This window comes from Homo sapiens, chromosome 20, assembly GCF_000001405.40.
Source record: "Homo sapiens chromosome 20, GRCh38.p14 Primary Assembly".
NCBI classification, from domain to species: domain Eukaryota; kingdom Metazoa; phylum Chordata; class Mammalia; order Primates; family Hominidae; genus Homo; species Homo sapiens.
Genome location: NC_000020.11, coordinates 40,295,084 through 40,315,213, shown reverse-complemented (window position 1 = coordinate 40,315,213; position 20,130 = coordinate 40,295,084). Strand labels below are relative to the sequence as shown.

General features: G+C 37.5%; 1 long non-coding RNA gene across 2 annotated transcripts; it reads left to right on the top strand.

The window, feature by feature from the left end:
- Positions 1-2,416: 2,416 nt before the first annotated feature.
- Positions 2,417-17,066, top strand: LOC105372617 (uncharacterized). 2 transcript variants are annotated; one of them, XR_001754593.2, is made up of 4 exons: positions 2,417-2,585; positions 9,054-9,148; positions 14,205-14,282; positions 15,071-17,066. It is a non-coding gene; the product is annotated as an uncharacterized LOC105372617 (long non-coding RNA). The 2 variants fall into 2 exon arrangements; XR_007067585.1 differs by lacking the exons at positions 2,417-2,585; positions 9,054-9,148 and adding an exon at positions 13,419-14,076 and having other exon boundaries at positions 14,205-17,066.
- The last annotated feature ends 3,064 nt before the right edge of the window (positions 17,067-20,130 follow it).

Sequence of the window (20,130 nt, the reverse complement as noted above, 5' to 3'; positions counted from 1 at the left end):
CTACTCTGGAGTCTGAGAGAGATAATTGCTTGAACCCAGGAGGCAGAGGTTGCAGTGAGCCAAGATTGTGCCACTGCCTGGGTGGGAGAAAGAGTGAGAATCTGTCAAAAAAAAAAAAAAATTAGATTCATGGAGGAGATATCCTTAAGTTGAGACTTACCTAAGTGATGGCAAGGAGCTAATCATATGAAGAAAGGAGAACATTCCAGAAGGTAGAACTCCATGGATGTGGGCCTGGGATTAAGAAATAGCTGGGCAAGATCAGGAGCAGAAGTAAGTCCAGCCTAACTGGATTCTAGTGAGCAAACAGGAAGGTGGCATCACCTGAGGTTGTAAAAGTGCAAAGGAAATTGGTCATCTAGGGCTTTAGGGCCCTTGGATACTGAGAAACTTGGATTATATTGAAGGCAACATGAAAAACCACTGGAGAATTTTCAGTGTGGTGGTGACATAATGTTCATTTTAAAAAGTGTCACTCAAGATGCTATGTGAAAATTAGATTGCAGCAAGGAAAGGGTGAACAAAAGAGACCTATTTGAAGTCTTTGGCATTTGTTCTGGTGAGAGATGATGGGGAGGCTTGGTGGCCAGGGGCTTGGTGATGGAGATGGAGACACATGACAAATTTGAGATGTGTTTTGGAAGGAGAAATAGCAGGATTTTCTGAAAGACTGCCTAGGAAAATGCTCTATCCTTTGCCAAGAACTGAGAGTCAGGCTTGTTCAGTTCCCAGGCTTCAGAACAATAAGTTGAAAACATGTTGATTCCATGTGATCTGGCGAATGAACAGAAAACAACTAGAAAAACTTTCAAACTTAAATCATACACAAACTCTCCAGTAAACAAAGGACCCTTTCCCTGGAAAATGCACATGTCTACTTAAAAAAAAATTTTGGCATACAATTTCAAGTGATTCCTGGATTCCAAAACACTTTCCATGGACACCCCCTACTCCATCCACAGCAGACAAGGAGGGTCCTATATGTCTGGATCCAAGATAAAAAATCCATGAACTAGAGATGTATACTGATTCTCCTTATCCTGGAAATCTACAACTTCAAGAGTGGACAATGGCCAGCTCTCTTTCAGGCAGGTTTATACATAATCTATTTCTAGGTGATGTTCTCCAGGACAGGTATTCCATACATATCCTTCAGGGGCCCCTGCAGTGTTCTACCATAGTTAAAATGCAGTCAAGTCCTGTTTTCATTCATTCAGTCTCCTGGGAAAGGGATGGGTCAGTCAAACTGAAGCCTTGGGAATATGAACACGGGGTTATTAGGTTCTTGGTATTCTGGGTCATTCTTTTCTAACTTTGAGTTTTCGGTTTTACTAGTAGAACATTGCTTGAGCAATACATTTAAGAAAGAACCTGAAAGAGTTTAGATGCCAGAAATTATCTCTATTATTAGCTTGAATGAACACACTACAACAAAACAGTATATTCAAAAACAATCAGTAAATCTTTTATTTTTCACCAGTAGATTCATTTTTTCCTGTGCATAATTTTATTGTCTATTTCCCACATTTCTTTCAAATGGAGAAAGCAAAACCACACATTCCCATACTTGTGAGAGGTACTTACCTTATGCTTAAACCACCAGAACTTCCTACCTTTTCCAAGATTTGTGAAGACTTTATAATGACTCCATGCCTTACATATACTGTTCCCTCTTCCTAGAATGCCCTTCCCACTGTGTCTTCTTGGGAAACATACTTGTTTTTAAGGTCCATCTGTGAAGTTGCCTCTTGAAGTCTTCCTGACTGCACCGACAGAGGCACTCTTTTTTTTTCTGTACTCCAGTATCCTCTTGTCCATCCTGCTATCACACTACTAGTCATATTTTGGATTTAATTATTTGTTTCCATGTCTGTTTCTCACTCTGGTTTGTTATGGGCAAGGGTGGTAATTTATTTATCTTTTAATTGCAGAATCCAGCCAAAATTTTGCCCACAGTCTAAGCCCAGTAAATGTCTACCAAACGTATGGAGCAATTCTTATAAGAGGCTCTGTGATGTGGATGCAGAAGGTTTATGATGTCCTGGCCCTGGCATACCAGACCCTTACTAATAATTCCAGCATCATGTTGCTGTTATGAAAAGAAGTTCTGACTTGTGAAGCTGAGTCCACTCTCACTGTCTACTCCCTAGTAACTGTTCTCCCAGGCCACCTCTATATTCAAGACTGAGACTGCCCCTTGTAGACCTTTGGTCCCAAGACCTAACCTCATCTTTGTTCCTTCCTTTCCATAGCACAGAAATGAAAGGAAAGACCTTTTGTTTCAATTCTTCATCTTCATAATTAGATACATTTGCTGAGTGCTTACTTTCTATCAGGCACTGTACTAATTACATAAATTAACTCATTTTTGCAAGAGCTCTATTCATTTATTTCCTCATATATTTATGTATTTCAGAAATATTAATTGAGCATCTATTATATGTAGCCACTGTGATGGGCACTGTGATGCAACTGAACAGATGGACAAAGGCCCTTCCTTCTTAGAGCTTTAAGTCTGCATGGTAGAGGGAAAATGATCTGGTACCAATGAATTAAGAAGATAATTCCAGATGGTGACAAATATCGTAAGTAAAGCAAAGATAGTGGCATAGCAGAGATGAAAGTAAGTGGTATGCCGAGGACCTGAGGCAGGGGAAGAGGGGTCTGGAGGATGGTGCAGCCTGGATGGCTGCATATACCTCACTTCCACTTACATTTCGGTAGCCCAGAATTAGTCACATGATCAAATCTAATGTTAAGCAGGCAAGAAAATACATTTTTTTGGGTGACCCAGATGAAGGTTATGGAAAAGGATTTGGGAAACACTATATGAAGTATCATTTCTGACATTTGAGTTGAGGCTGTAGGGAGGAGATGGAAGGGTGGTCAAGATAGAAGGAATCCCACGTGGAAAGGCTATGAGCTGGGGAAAAACAGCTAGGCCCATTTGGTGGCTAAAAGGGTGTTATTATGTCTGGCACATAATAAGCAAGGAACAGCACACTATAAGATATATTAGGGGAGGCTGGCAAGAGACAGGCCATTTAGGATTTGATTCTGAAAGCAGTGAGAAGCCACCAAAAGGTTTTAAGCCAGGGAGTGTCAAGATCATTTTTAAAAACTTGTCCTAACTGTAGTGTGGATAAGTCTCTAAGGGGACAACTGGGGGGAGGGAGCCCCATTATTAGGTTGTTACAGAATGCTTCGAATAGGTGGTAGGGTCAGAGATTTTATTCTCTTTTAAGAAATCATTAAGGTAACAAAATGGATGCTTCGAGCTGGAATCTCTCAGGGCTTGGAAGGATGGAGAAGCCACAGGAAACATGGAACATGCCGAGACTCCAGAGGCAGTGTCTTTATTTCCTGTCTGGGAAGTGACCTCATGTGATCTACTTTAAACAATTTGGACTTTGCAGGAGGTTTTTGAATTCTAATTAAAATGGCATGGACTTTTAAGTCAAATAGAAATGGATCTAAATCCAGACACTACTTACAAGTGGTAGGAGTTGGGCAAAGATGTCTCCCCCAACTTCAGTTCCTCATTTGTAAAATACCTCATTTGTATCCATCAGCCTGGCTGCAGTAACAAACACCCCCAGTATCTCATTGACTTATGACTTTCATTTGTCACTCAGCTGCAGGTCAACTGCTATGCCCCTGCTCCATGCGATTTCTTATTCCAAGACCCAGGCTATGAGCTGAGAAACTTTAAGACATGGCAAGCAGCACATCTGTTCTCATGCCATTGGCCCAAGCAAGTCACATGGCCCATCTGATCATTAGGGTAGGAAAGTATATTCTGCCTACAGGGCAACACCATAAGTCATACAAACAATGGGCAGGAGTACATGATAGTTTTACAGAGAAGACAGTGAATAATTGGGGACAATAATATAATACAATCTGCCACATCAAGCTTACTGAGTTACCGTAGGAATTAAGTGGATGATACATACAAAGCACTTAGTGTTTGACACAAAAAACACTCTGTACAAATAAATTTTTATTAACTAGTTCAATTTATATATATATATATATATATATATATATATATATATATATATATATAATTTGCCAACACAGGATTAAAATGTGTAACTCTTTGCCTCTTACTCTCCTCTCTCCTCTCAATAACCACCTTCCATACACACCTACGTGCATAAACAGTGGTGAACTTGTACAAAATGCACAGCTTTTAGTGGCACGTAGACCTCAGTTGGAAACTCAGTTATGCTGCTTACTCAGTGTGACTGTCTGAGATCACTGTCCTCTCTCAGACTTCAGTCTCCTCATCTGTAAAATTGGAGAAAGCCCACACCATTGGATTGATGTGAACATTAAAACTCAGAACATTTGACTTCTCTTTCCTCTATAGATTTTCCCCAGTCTCTGGCAAGTTCTTATAATTAAAGCATATTCCAAATATGCCAATTTGAGGCAAGTAGAGGATGTCTTCATGACAGGTACTTAGAGAATGTCAACTTTGAGGATTTCTGCAGTAATTAGTAATGATTGCCACTCTCTTTACTAAAAGAAGCTGTGAGGCTCTTCCCTACCTAAAATGCATAGGATGTCTTGAGGGTTCCTGAATATTCCACACTATCCCTTGCTTCCATGCCATTGTTCATTCTGGCCCCTTTACATGGAATGCCTTTTGTCCCAAATGAAATTCTTTTGGTGGGCATTCTAAGATGCTTCTCACCATCCCCACCCGACTATGAGAATTTGCTAAGTGACTACTCTTGACTCAGTGGTTTTAAATTCGGCTTACCCGCCCACACCTGGTAGTATATGTTAGTGGACTAGGGTGCTAATTCTTGGGGATTACTTGGGTCAAACCCCAGTCTTCCTGCTTAGCCTGAGAACCCAGTTGGGACTTTCCTTGGTTCACCCGGTACTGAAGCAAGTAGGGGCCAGTTTGCTATGAATAAGGTGCTAAACAACGCGCAGGTCATCCCGAGATACCCAAAAAACTATCTGGTGTCAGGCCAAAAAGTGGCACAGTTACATCTGTATTTTAGAATGATGTCTCTGATGGCTGTAGGAGAGTACATTGGAAGACAGCAAGGCTAGGGAACAGAACAATTGTTCAGACAAGAGATGGTGCCCTTGTTTTACAAGAAACATTCCTGGGAAATACTTACCGCATTCCCTTGTTGTATTTCTTTGTGTTTGCTAACTGTTGGGTTTGGACAGTGCCAGGGTCTTCAGTAGAGTGACTCTCCTCCAGTGCAGTGCTACTTATGAGAATAAGCCTTTGTAAGAAGACCTCAACAAGAATTTAATACCCAAGTGCACTGTCATTCTTTTCTTGTGACTCATTTCAATTTTATTTTATAAACGTATCAGTAGGGTAATAGACTGGAATGAAAACAAAAAAATGACAATAACATGAAAGCCGCCCTCCATCAGAGAGTCCAGGAAGCCCTGCTGCAGAGCCGCACGGGGAAGACGCTTCATTTTCTCTTTGCTGGGGTAGGATGACTTCAACTATTTTCCTGGATTTTGATGAAATTAAACTACACCCAAGTTGAATTCCAGGTACTTCTAGATTTTTACTCTGAGGCTCTTTCCTGGGCCACAATACCCAATTTTCCTCTGATTACCAAACTGTCAACTTTTTATTGGGATGGTAAGGGATTATTTAAATGTTTGATCCCACATTCACACACACATCTTTTCTCTCTCTCTTTTATTTAAATTAATAGACTATTTTTAATAGAGCAGGTTTAAGTTTACAGAAAATTTGAGTGGAAAATAAAGACCACTCTCATAGTCCCCCATTTTCCTGTGACACACAGTACTCCATTATCAACATCTTCATTACAAGGGTACTTTTGTTCCAATTAATGAGCCTATATATATATATATATTTGCTTGTTTGTTTGTTTGTTTGTTTTTTTGGAGACACAGTTTTGCTCTGTCACCCAGGCTGGAGTGCAGTGGTCCAATCTTGGCTCACTGGAACTTCTGCCTCCTGGGTTAAAGCAATTCTCCTACCTCAGCCTTTTGAGTAGCTGGGATTATAGGTGTGCACCACCATGCCTGGTTAACTTTTGTATTTTTAGTAGAGATGGGGTTTCACCATGTTGGCCAGGCTGGTCTCAAACTTCTGACTTCAATGATCCACCCCCCTCGGCTTCCTGAAGTGCTGGGATCACAGGCATGAGCCACGGCGCCGGCCTGATGAGCCAATGTTAATATATCATTATTAATTGAAGTCCATACTTTATGTTAGGGTTCACTCTGTGTTGTACATTCTAGGATTTTGAGCAATGTATAATGACGTGTACCCTGCATTACAGTATCACACAGAAGAGTTTCACCGTTCTAAAAATCCTCTGAGCTTCACCCATTCATCCTTCCCTCCCTGTCCCTGAACCTCTGGCAACTACTGATGCTTTTACTCTCTCCATAGTTTTACCTTTTCCAGAATGTCATAAAGTTAGAATCAGATAGGAGGTAGCATTTTTGATATCTCTTTCTTGTACCATTTTCCTTCATGTTTTCATGACCTTTCCAGCTTACCACACACACTTACACATGCACACACACACACACGCACACTTACACATGCACACTGTCCTTCCAAAACCGAATCGAAAAGTTGAGAAAAACTCATACCTAACTTGGCTCACAAATTTGTTAAGTTTGAGAGGGCCTTTGGGGGGTCATTTTCTCTCTCTCCCTGCCTTCCTATCAGGAAGTAAACACTGACAATTCACCCAACTCATAAGAGCCAGGCCTCTCCTCCTGGCTTGGTCTGTTCACTTCTTGTTTCCCTAAAAGCAAGGGCCTTTTTGCCTGTGCTGTGTCTGAGCGGTAATTACCTTGTGTCTGTTCTGCTGCCTTCAAATTATTTTTCCCACCTTCAGAGCAATTGCCTCCCACTTCTTATCTCTACTGTGATCTTCTGCAGGGCACAAGGGACCTGTCTCTTGACTCTCATATTTTTGCTTCTGATGTTAAAAAGTCCCCTTGAACTTGCATTTTACAGACACCAGCAAAGCCCAAGTGTCTTCACATAACCTGACACTTCCCGGGGGCAGGGTGTTTGCAATTATAGCCTGAGCTGGCTGCGGGATCAGAGCATTGCCCAGGCCCGGCGAGGCCTGGCCTGCAGAGCACTTTTGATGAGTGATGGGGTTATTATTATGAATGCTATGCGAGGACGCTGGTAAAGTCCCATGGCAGGAGGGCTTTTCTCCCTTCATCTTGCCTTAGCATAGACAGACAGACATATACATACATATATGCATATACCGGGAGGCAGGCTGGCTAGGGAGAGAAGAAAACGAAGTTAGAGGAAATTCTCACACATTTTGGAACGATCTTTCTCCCATGCCTCTGTCTTCCCAGAGTCTCCTGTTTCTCACTGACAGGCCATCCTCTCTTAAGGACCATGAATATAGTTTACTCCCAAATTGAAAAGCCAACCTCTTTTTCCAGCTTTTGTATTCCAACACCCTTCCTTCCCTTTTATCTTTTTTCTTGAGGCTTAGGATTTCTTTCTTTGGAGGCATTTTCTGCCACTTTTGTCTCTTGCAGAGAAAATAAAAAATACCTAGGTAGAAGGATAGTGGTCCTAGCTATTTGCATAGATAGAGTGCTTCTCTAGGGAAACAATTTTTTTCCAACTCTTCCATTGTGTGTGTCTCTGTTCTGTGCTGCAGAGTGTTGATCATTGTTCATTTATGCCTCTTTGGTAAATCTATGTCCCTGTGGGTGGGCCCAACCTTCCCTGAAAGAGGGAGGCACGCCCAATGTTAAATGTCTGGGAGGAGGCCATACTCAGCCAGAAAATGTGATCTTAGGAGGCTTGGCAAGGAGCCTCCTAGTCCTTCCACTTTGGTTTCAGACTTTGAGGAGACTTGATGCCTTTGGAGGAGAGCAGCATTTCACGGTTTCGAGATGGCCTCCCTGATGGGAAGGTGTGATGGGAACTGGGAAGGGGCTCCCAGGCTACGTGTAATGAGCTGAAGGTAGGAAGCCACCCTCATCTTGTCAAGTGGCATGGCTGCTTGTTTCTTGCCTGTTCATTCCCTTCAGTTGACATAATCCCTTTAGAAAAGCCTCCCGGGAAAGTTTGAAATTTCTCTTTAAAACACTGCAGAATCCAGGGAAGGACCTTGCCTCGCTGTTTCAGGAGAGCAGTAAAGAGACTGGAATGCCTCCCAAGATCAGCTGGAGCAGCAGGGAATGTTCTGGATTTCATTTGCAAACACGACTCAAATTTAAAATCGTCATCATATGCCTGTCATTATGTTCTAGATCTTAAAACATCCTTATGAAGTGGCACTGCTCTTGCTCCCATTTTACAGATGAGGAAGCAACATTTGAGACTGTGTATGTCAACTACCCCTCCTCATTTTACATCCTCTATTTTCCGATATCCTTGAAAGAATTGCATGGCATATTAAAAAGGAAGTGGAATGTTTTTGTTACATTTTTACAATGCTCAAAGCACCTTTGTGTACTTGGTCTTCTATCTAGATGGTTAAATTCCATGGATAAAGCAAGACAGAGGCTTTTCTGTTTTTGTTTGTTTTTAAAATTTTAAGAGCTGGACACTGCAGTCTGGGTTGTATGACTTATTGGAAACCGTGTGTCAATAGATGGAGGGGATGGAATTCAAAATTATTGCAATTCCGGGACTTAATCCTCTAGTACTTGATTTTGGCTTCATTCAGAATCTGTTCATGTATGGAAATGCCAAAGACTGGGAATGTAATCCCAATAGTCTCAGCAGCACGCTGGGAATAGGAAGGACTCCCAAGTCCCAGTGGACCACAGACCTGCTAGGTCAGACTTTCCATGTGTTTGCTTAGTTCACTGGAAGTGGCCAGGGAGACTCCTACTAATGTGTCAATTATCTCAGTGTATCAATTAATAGGCTCTGTTAAAAAGTCAAGAAGATGTGGGGATTTGAAATAATCATGTGGATACCTTGGTTCTACACCTGCAGTTTTGCCAACTCACAGGACATAGAGGAAACATTTGATGTTGCTGTTTCTGCTTCAAAGATTCCAATGATTTCTCTTCCTCTGTTTCAGCCCCAGAGGTTACTGACAGACCAAAATATCCTGACAACCCCGGAATGCCAGAAGGAGAGAAGGGGTTTGTAAATCTGAGGACCTTGACTACTTTTGTAAGAAGGAATTACTTGCTAAGTACTGTCTCAGAAAGAAACTCTCTTGGAGGTTACCTGGGGACAAGTGGAGGAAGCAAGCCATAGCCTTTTTGGAATTGTGATAATATTCCAAGGCAAATGTTCCCAGGGGCTGGGATTTTACCTTCTGTCTGTCCTACAATCAGGGTGTAAGATGGAGGAATGCACTTCCCATCTCTGAGCCACGGTTTCTCATCCATAGAATGGGGAGTTTGGATTTCTAAGATCCCCCATCTCACGCTTTGAATGCGATCAGGCTGGGAATTCAAAAGCATCTGCTCACTGGGAAAGGGAGGCAGTCAGGGTGGGACAGGGCTTGTATTGAATAACGAGAAAGGAGCATGGTGACTATGACTTGAGTCAGTCCGGAAATAAAATATAAGGGGGTCTGATCTGAGGCAGAAGAGGACAGCAGAAATTCTCCTAGGAGTGGCAGTCAAGCCAGGTCAGGCTCGGGTCAGGCTGCCTGGTTCAGAGAATGGCATCAATGTGTGCAGAGAGGTTCTTAAGGCCAGACAGGTGTCAGGGCCCAAGCCAAGTGGACTGGAGGTCAGAATAGGGCTTCAGTTCTAAAAAAGGTGCCTGGCTGAGTGCAAAGCAGGCCTGAGTCATCCAGACCTCACAATCATGGCTGGAGTGGCCACAGACAGACCCACAATGGGTGCAGGGGATCCCAAGTTTATGACACCAAGAGTCATTCCAGGCTTACCTATGTTTTCAGGGCAAATACAGGACTGAGTCTAGGCTGGAGGGTTAGAGAAGCTGAAACAGACACCTTTAGAACTGAAGTGTGATGTTTTCATTAATCTGAATACAAACCATAGCCAATATATATGGTGTGCTTTCTCTGTGTCACTCTATTCTAAGTATTTCACATGTGTGAACTCCCTGGCAGGCTAGTAGTATTAGAGCTTTTGCTTATTAATCTCTATGGTAACAGGTCATTAAAAAAAATAATTAATTACTGTGTTACCAAGATCAAAATATAGTAATATTCGCCTCTTCAGCTGTGACCACCACCATAGAAAAGTCCAGGCAAAAATACAGAGATCAGAAGGGGCAAGTGGAACCCTATGCAGGCTAAAGACTCTTAGGAAATATGGGCCCTTGAAATGTCCCCATCTATGTGGGTTTCATTGTCAGTCCTTCTTTCTTTGGCAGGGTCAAGGGCATTTGACCTGTTGATACACCTATTGCTTTTCCAGCAAGCCCTACATCTTTCTAGTAAGGAGTCAATGCACCAAAGCTGGAGGCCACTGGAGGTGACTCCAGTCACCATTTTTCAACTTCTCCTAGAAATGTCTCTTTGGTTTCTTCAGGCTTTGACTTGGGTGACTATGGAGAACGTGACATGGGAAGTTAAAAAGCAACAAGAAGTCTTTTAAAAAGTTTGAATTACATTGAACATATGTCTGAAATGTAAGAAGGGGTAAGCCCTCTTTCTTACCATCCTTCCTGACCATGACCCCTGGGAGTCAGATATCCCAGGCACAGCTTAGCTTTCTAACCCTGCTGTGTTGCCCTCCATGATCTCTCCGAATTTCTCTCCCTTTCCTCCCTTTACACTAAAAATGCTCTAGTTCTGGCCTTCCTCATCTCGTTAATAATTAAGCTGGCTGACTTAACTCCCTGCCTTCTGGTTGCCCTCTTCAATCTGTCCTTGTCTCTGTCAGCAGCAGCATCGTCCTGCTCAAAACCACAAAGACCTCCTACTGTGGAAAGACAGGTATTCAGAATCCACATCGCACGTCTAGATCCCCTGTGATGTGCCCTGAAACAACCTCCACTGTCTTAGCTTTTACTAACATCTTCCATAATTTCCAGGCCCAGCAGGCCTGATCTTGTGCTCAACTTCCCCAACTTAGTCTCCTCCTTCTGTCAGAAATAGCCTTTCTCTATCTCCACCTGAGATTAATGTATCCTGGAGAGTCTATCTCTCTTTTCAGTGTCCATATCAAGGGCCGGCTCCTCCAGAAAGCCTTTCTATACCTTCAACCTCCAACCTCATATCTCATCATTAGAAAAGATCACGTTCTCATTAGAAGCCCAAACCTCAGTATCACATAATATGCCCATCTAACAAACCTGCACATGTACACCCTGAACCTAAAAAAAAATAAAATAAAACAAAAAAAGAAAAGAAAATATACACTGATGAGAAAAAAAAGGATCAAATCCAACTTTAAGTTCCTGAGTCTAACTTTCTAACTTTATTTTAGTGCCTCCCAGAATTATCTGTGTTTGTGTCCACATTAACCATTGGCTGGGATCATCATAAGTGAATCACCATGTTCCCCAAACCAAAAACTGCCCTGGCACACAGGAAGCTTACGTTAGTGTCTTAGTATGGCATATATGTATACACACACTGTACACATGAACACATATCTATGTGATGTTTCCAAACATAGATATGTGTTCATATCCAAAGACAGTTGTCTTTGAAAGTAAACACAATAAACTCGGATAAACTTCTGGAACATGGGGATAGGAGGGTGGGATGAAAGAAAGCATTTAGTAAATTTACATTTCTTTATGTATTTCTTGACTCTTAAAATCAATATATCATAATTTAATAACATAATTTATTAAAATGAAAAATAAAATAATTCATGTTAATTGTAGAATACATACATCTGTAAAGAAGAATGACAAACAGGAATAATTTCCAGAGACTCACAATCTACATACATTCTATTTATGTGATTAGATCCATGTTATTCTTATGTTTCCTTTTTGCCAGTTAGCATTGTATGGAGAGTACTTCTCCATTTTCTATCATTGGGTGTATGAATTGTTAACCACTTTGGAATACTGCAAATAATCATATAATGAATATACATATACTTAAATCTTTGTGTGCATTTGTTATTATTTACTAGGTTAGATTCTTAGAAATAGAACCACTGACTTGAAGGGAATATTATCATTTAAGGTTTTAATCCATGTTGCCAAAATGTTTGTAAGAAAGTATCCATCTCACAATACCCACATCAGAACCAGGTATTACAATTTTTAAAACCTCCCAAACATTTTCTTTTTCTTTCTTTTTTTTCTTTTCTTTTTTTTTTGAGACAGAGTCTCACTCCGTTTCTCAGGCTGGAGTACAGTGGCAGTGACTGCAACCTACGCACCCCCCAGGTTCAAGCGATTCTCCTGCCTCAACCTCACGAGTAGCTGGGATTACAGGCACCTGCCACCATGACCCGCTAATTTTTTTGTGTTTTAACTAGAGACAGAGTTTCACCATGTTGGCCGGGGTGGTCTTCAACTCCTGATGTCAAGTGATGCGCCCACTTCTGCCTCCCAAAATGCTGGGATTACAGGCTTGAGCCACAGCGCCCAGCCCTAACATTTTTTTTTTTATGGATTCTCCCTTTGCTTTTATAATGAGGGCACCTCTACCCTGAGATGAATCAGATGCATTATTGTTTTTTGTCAATTCTTTTACTACTTCTTCTTTAATATTTGAATTTTTGATCAATTTAAATCAAATTAGGTAAATTTTATGAGGTAAGGGAGGAGACATTTGCCTTGTTATAATTCCTGTATATTTAACCAATCATCCATGTCATATTTATTTAATAATCCTTCCCCACACTTTAAATAATTTGTAGTCTTATTTTTGTTCTGTGTTTGAATTACCATAGCTGTATAGTATGATTTGACATCTGATAGGGTAGATTTCACCTTTTTAATTATTTATTTTATATTCTGGGGTCATTCTCAGCATTTATTTTGTCTAAATGAAACGTAAACAGGCTGTCAAGTTTTCAACACAGATCCAAGTGGAATTAAACATTTTTTTTCTTACGAATATTTGGGGACTTCATTCCTTTCTTCCTTTTTTTTCTCTTCCTCCTCCCCTCCCTCCTTCTCCTCCTTCTTATTCTATTCTTCTCTCTCTTTTTCATTCTCTTCTCCTTCCTTCCCTTCCTTTCCTTCTCAACTTCATCTTCTTCGTTTCTCCATCATTATCATTTTCTGTTTATTGATTACACTTAAATAATAACTATTTCATAGAGAAAATTAAAACTAGACATAGTGATCAAATGTTGACATGTTGTTTTTTGTGTCAAATATTCAAATATTTTTAAATTGACATCTAAAAGTTTATAGAAACAGGCACATTCCTCCACCAGAATTTCCCTCTACTCTCAAAAGTAACCACCATTATAAAATGCTGCACTGTCAGCAAACCACCATGGCACATGTATACCTATGTAACAAACCTGCACGTTCTGCACATGTATCCCAAAACTTAAAGTATAACAATAATAATAATGCTGCACTGTCTTTTTTGTGTTGTTTTGTGCATTTTTAACCTCTAATTTCACAGCATACTTATTTGTCCATAACTATATATATAGTGTTTTGCATATTTAAAACTTTTGTACAAAATGTGTCAGAGTGAACATGTTCTTTTGCAATTTCATTTATTTTGGTCAACAATATGTGACTTTTCTTCATGAACATCCTGCATATTCCTTGTTTCATTTATCCTTGGTTATTTAGAACATTTCTTCTATTTTAATGCTAACTTCAATTGACTCAAATTTTGTTGACGGCTTGTGAGATCAACCAAAAGCTAAATGAAATCAGTCTTCTGTGTGTGTGTTTGTTTTTAATGCTTTCTAGATTAGTCTGACATGCACACCCAATCGGAAAACACTAGCGCAGAAGAGGGAGAGCCTAATATCAGCATTACCTAGGTATTAGAAGAATTTGGATATTATTATATACACCTGGCATGATAGCTAGGACAGAACCTGTTCTGCCGGGAGAAGGCGCCTGCTCAGGGTTTCTCTTTCCCTACATGGGAACCCCTGAAGGAGAGTCCTGCCTGTGATCTTCATTTAGAAGGCTAGTGCTGACCACTGCTTGGTTCTCATCAATCCATCCTTGAGGTTAGTACTACACCTGTTTGAGCAGAATTCTGGTCACAGTCTTACTCTGAATTTGGTGTCCTTATAACGCAACCCTTAAGTTCCCTAACTATACCTCACCTAGATTTTCCCACATTGTGTCTCCACAGATATCCCCAATCTCATCTTAAATCTGAATTGAACCTGTCATATTATAGCCTGGCTCTTCTCTCACCAACTATTTGGGGGTAATGTAGTGATTCATTTTGTTTCCACATATTATTTTAAGTTCTTACTACCTCCTTCCCCCATCTAGGTTCAGATTTTCCCCTGCTTTTAACATCTTGGTCCAGGCAGCTACATTATCAAACTGTACTAGGATGGCAAAATCATTTTTTCACATATGCTAACCATCAATGATTAGTGGTGATTTTATGGAAAAATATGTTGAGAATAATTTAGAGGAAAGATTTGGGTTCAGATAGAACTATCTGCCATTGGTAAGTAAAGTAAAGTGATGTTGTCACTTATTTTATCCCATCCATGATGAGAATTGATGTTTATAAAACCTTTGACTATACAATGAGAGTATTAAGCAAAAAACAAGTAACAAAAATTAAAAATAAAATGCTTTTGTAATCAAGGTCAGAGAGGATATTCTTTTACTTTTTCCATTACATTATTCATGTGTGCATAATGGTGTACAGTATTACTTTCCATGTGTAAAAAAGAAATCATACAATAGAGTGCATAGAGAAGTGGAGAAATGGAGAATAGTTCTCAAAGTTATTTGATCTGGCAGATTATCTTCCAAAGATGAGTGCAACTGTATTTTCCATATCACAGCCTCTTCTGGAATATTAAACTCTGCCCCCATCAAGAGGTGGTGTCTGTGTCTGTTCTTGAATTTGGGTGGGTCTTCCCGACTGCTTCAACCAAGAGAGTCCAGTAGAAATGATACTATATGATTTTGGAGGTTAGATCAAAAGACTGCCATGCATTTTAATTTTGTTTTTTGAGGGTTGCTGTCTTTTAGAACCCAGCCAACATACTGTGATGAAGCCTAAACAACTGTGGAGAGGCTCACGTGGAGAGGAGTCAATGCCCACTGATCTATAAGCCTTGGCTGAGCTCTGAGCCAACAGTCATGATCAACTTCCAGCCGTATAAGTGAACCATCTTGAAAGAGGCTTCACCAGCACCAAGTTGAGCAACTTGATTATGTTACCAAAGATCACCTCCTTCCTATCATCTTCCGTCTGAGACTTGCTTAGAGTGAGTTTGGAAGCTGTGTTTTGCTCATCCTGAAGACTGAACATAAGAAAATATTGCTCAAGTTCTGGATGATGCAGCTGCTGAAATAATCTGTGGTGCACTTTCCTTCAGGAATCCTTACCTATTTTTTCAGGTGTTCCACAAGCCTTCTTATCTTGGAATTCAGTAATACTTATTGTGTGGTTGCTTACTGTTCCCTAGGCACCCTGAAGCATTGAAGCTTTGAAGCTTTGTCTCATGCTTTCAAGTAATGTTCTCGTGTTTACCTGCTGATATTCCTTCAAAGTTAGAGGCTGCCTCTCTCCAAGTGTGGAAAAAAACAATCAGATGTCACTAAGATATTGTGTAACAATTCATATTAAACACATGATCTTGTCAGTCAAGAAGAAGAGATTAAAACAAACACCTTGAGAGTTCATGAGTAGAAGTATACAGCCCTGCATTCATGATAATATGGTGCATTTTACCTACCTTGCAGCAGAAAGAGATATCTAATTCCATACACAGCAATGTAACTGTTTAAAGTGCTCCTAAAATTCAGACAAAACAAATTATAAATAGTATCAAGATCAAAGAAGCTGAAAGTCCCTATGTTTGATGTAGGCACAGCAAAGTTTGATGTATATGCTCATTTCTCAGCACTGCAAGTATGGAGAAACCATCAGAAAGCATGCTGAAAATAGAGAGGGCTTCTAAAACAGAAAGCTCCTGCCTGTTTTACTGAAGGCTACCAGATTCTTTCTCAGAAATTTTGTACAGTTCAGAGGCACAAATGCTCTTTTAGGTCCTTTGAAGCACTGGGTTTAATATCGGAATTTAATCTTGGCTCTAGTCTCCAATTCCTTACATAGTCATTCAAGCAATCTTGGGGACCAAGTCTTCCAATAGCATAGTGATATTCATGCCTGAAGTGGGAGGAATAGATATCCTCCTCATTAACAAGGGATGAGAGATCATGTTTCATAGGCAAAATACTCATGCATGCAAAAATGTAACTTTTCCAGTAATTTTTTTAGTACTGAAATTAGCTTAGCTCATTAGCTCTCTCTTCTACCTAGTAGCAGGGAATGCAGTTTTGCTAACCCAGGTGACTCATTATTTCTGTTTTCAAGTTTAGTTTATTTTAGGTAAATTTTTGAATTCATAATGTTTTTCTGACCTTTCTTCTCTTCCAGAAGAGGTTATTCTAACTTCTTAATGGATTTACTTTTGTAGTTGTTACTGTTATATATATATAATAGATAAATATATATAATATATAATATAATATATATTATAATATAATATATTATACATTGTATATAATATATATTTATATATTATATAATATATAATAATATATATTATATATTATATAATAATATATATTAGATACAATATAATATATAATAATATATATTAGATATAATATAATATATAATAATACATATTATTAATATATAATAATATACATTATATATAATATAATATACAATAATATATATTATATAATATATAATAATATACATTATATATAATATAATATAATATATAATAATATACATTATATATAATATAATACACAATAATATATATTATAACATATTATATAATATGTAATAATATATATTATTACATATTATATAATAATATATATTATTACATATAATATAATAATATATGTTATAACATAATATACTGTATAAATATATATTATTTTTACAAAAATCAACTTTATTGTTGCATAACTCACAAAAAATAAAATTCATTATATTAAAGGGTGTATTTTGTCAATTTCTACACAAATAGCCTGCCAGAATTTTGATTGGGATGGTGTTGAATGTAGACCAATTATGGGAGAATTGCCATTAACAGTATTGAGTCTACCAATCCATGGACATGGTATATCTCTCAATTTATTTAGACCTTTAATTTCTCTCAGCATTGCATTGCAGTTTTATGTTTAGAGGTCTTGTACATATTTTGTTAAATTTGTCCTAAGAGTTTTATATTTTGAGATGATAGCATAAAGGGTATTGTATTTTTAATTTTATTTTTCAATTGTTTCTTTGTGATGTATAGATTTAAATTGATTTCTGAATGTTGAACTTGTATTCTGCAATCTTTTAAAATTAACTTGTTAGTTCTAATAACTTTTTTTTTTGTTTTTTTAGGACATTGTATTTACATGATCATGTTGTCTGCAAATAAGGGCAGCTTTAATTTTTTGTAGACTGTATGACTTTTATTTGACTTCAGTAACAGTATTAAATAGAAGTGGTGAGAACTGACATCTTTCCTTATTCCAGAACTTAGAGAATAAGAATTCAGTCTTTCATTATTAATTATGATATTATCTGCAGCTATTTCATAGGTAATCTGTATAATATTGTGGCAATTTTCTTCTATTTCTAGTTTTATAAGATTTTTTAATCATAAAAAAGAGTTAAATTTTGTCACACATATGAATATGTGTTTATACTGAAACGTGACTAGATTTTTTATTCTTTATTCTGATCATACAGTAAATTTTCAAATGTTAAGCCAGTCATGAAAGTCTGAAATCTATTTTTTATAATATACTACCTTTTTATATCTAGATGATTATAATTTACTAAAGATTAAGGATTTTTCTGTGTTTTTTTCATAAAAAATATCAGTCTAAAGTATGCTTTTCTTGTAATATTTTGTCTGGTTTTGGGTAAGGGTAAAAGAGTCCTCATGAAATGATTAGAGAAATCTTCCTCCATACTCTCTTTTTGAAAGAGTTTGCGTAGAATTGTTATTTATTTTATAAATATGTATTGGAATTCACCAATGAAGTCCTCTTGGCTTGGAGTTTTCTTTGTGTGGATGTTTCTAATTAAGGATTTATTTTAAAAATTGATATGGGACTATCCAAGTTTTCTATTTCTTCTTGAGTCAATATTGATAATCTGTATCTTTCAAAGAATTTATTCATTTGAGCTAAGTTGTCAAATTTGTTAGCATAATTTTGTTTATTATTGACCCTTATTTATTACTCTTTAAAATTTCTGTGGATTTGTAGTGATGTCCCCATTTACCTTAAATTATTGGAATTGTTTCTTCTTTTTAAAAAATGCTATTAGTCTATTTAAGAGTTTATAAATTTTATTTGTATTTCTACAGAGACAGCTTCAGTTTCATTGATTTTTCTGTTTTGTTTGTCTAATTTTTATTTCATTGGCTTCCTCTCATTACTTTCTTACTTCTATTCCCTTCAGGTTTAGCTTGCTCTTTTTTATAGATTATTTAAATGAAAGCTCAGGTCACTCATTTTATACGATTTTTGTTTCCTAACATAAGCACTTTATAATATAGTATACATTTCCAGCTACATGCTGATTTAGCTCCTTTCCACAATTGCTTTAATATTTTCTGATATCATTATATTTCAGTTCAAAATATTTTCTAATTTTTCTTGTGATTTATTCTTTAATTCACAGTCTATATAGATGTGTGTTGTTCAGTTTGCAAATTTAGGAGATGTTTTCACATAGAATATTTGTATTCTTGGTTATAATTTAATTTAATTTTTTCAGAGAAGATACTCTGAATAATTTCAGATTTTTTGGATTTATTGATACTTCTTTTATAGCTTATAATATAATATAACACCATATAGTCTTCCCTGTGCACCTGAAAAGAATGCATATTATCATGTTGAGTGGACTATTCTAAACATTTCACTTAGGTCAAGTTGGTTTTTAACGTTATCAAAGTCATCTATACCTTTACTACTTGTTCTAATAATTACCTGCTGACTTGTTCTAATAATTACTGAGTGAGCAATGTTGAAGTCTTTTAACTATAATTATGAATTTGTCTCACTGTCTTTTCAGTTCTATCAACTTTGGTTTCAGGCATTGTTGAAGCTCTGTTATTAGGTTTGTATACAGATTGAAAATGTTATATCTTCTGGATGTACTTTCTAATTTTTCATTATAAAATTCTTCATATTATTTCATAATATTGCTTATCCTGATGTCTACATTGTATGATATTAATATAGACATTCTAGTCTGTGTCTAGTGTTTGTTTGCATGGTATTTAATTTTGTATCCTTTAACTTGTAACCACACTATGACTTTAAAGAGGGCTTTCTACAGTTGGCCTATATTTGGGTATTGCCTTTTTATCCTCTCTGACAGTCTGTCTTTTAATTGGAGTGTCAAGATTAGTAATATTTAATGTAGTTATTGGTATAGTAAGTTTAAATCTACAATCTTGCTATTCATTTTTTTAATTGTCTTCTTTTCTGCATCCGTTTTTGTCAATTATTGTTTTAGTGTTCTATTATTTCCACTACTGGCTTATTAGCTAGCCCTTGCTTTAGTTTTTAGTATTGCCCTAGGGAATATAACACACACCTTTAACTAACTTCAGCCTACCTTTAAATGATATCATCTCACTTCATGAATAATGTAAGACTCTTATATTATATACATTATATGCTTTCATTTATCCCCTTCCATCTTTTGTTACCATTCAATTTGATTCATGCCTATGTTATAAATAGCATTATTCTTGCTTCAAACATTTGTCTTTTGAAGAAATAAAAATGAGAAAAATAGTGTTTTATATATACTCACTTATATATACCATTTCTAATGTTTCTCATGCCTATGATGTAGAGCTAAGTTCTCAGCTGGCATAATTTTCCTTCTGCTGGAAGAACAGCCTTTAATATGTCTTATAGTGCAAATCTGCTGGTGATGAATTATTTCAGCATTATTTATCGGAAACATAATTTCACCCTGATTTTTGAATTTTACACTTTTCCCTGTGGAAGGGAACTTGAAGAATTTTATCAGGGGAGTT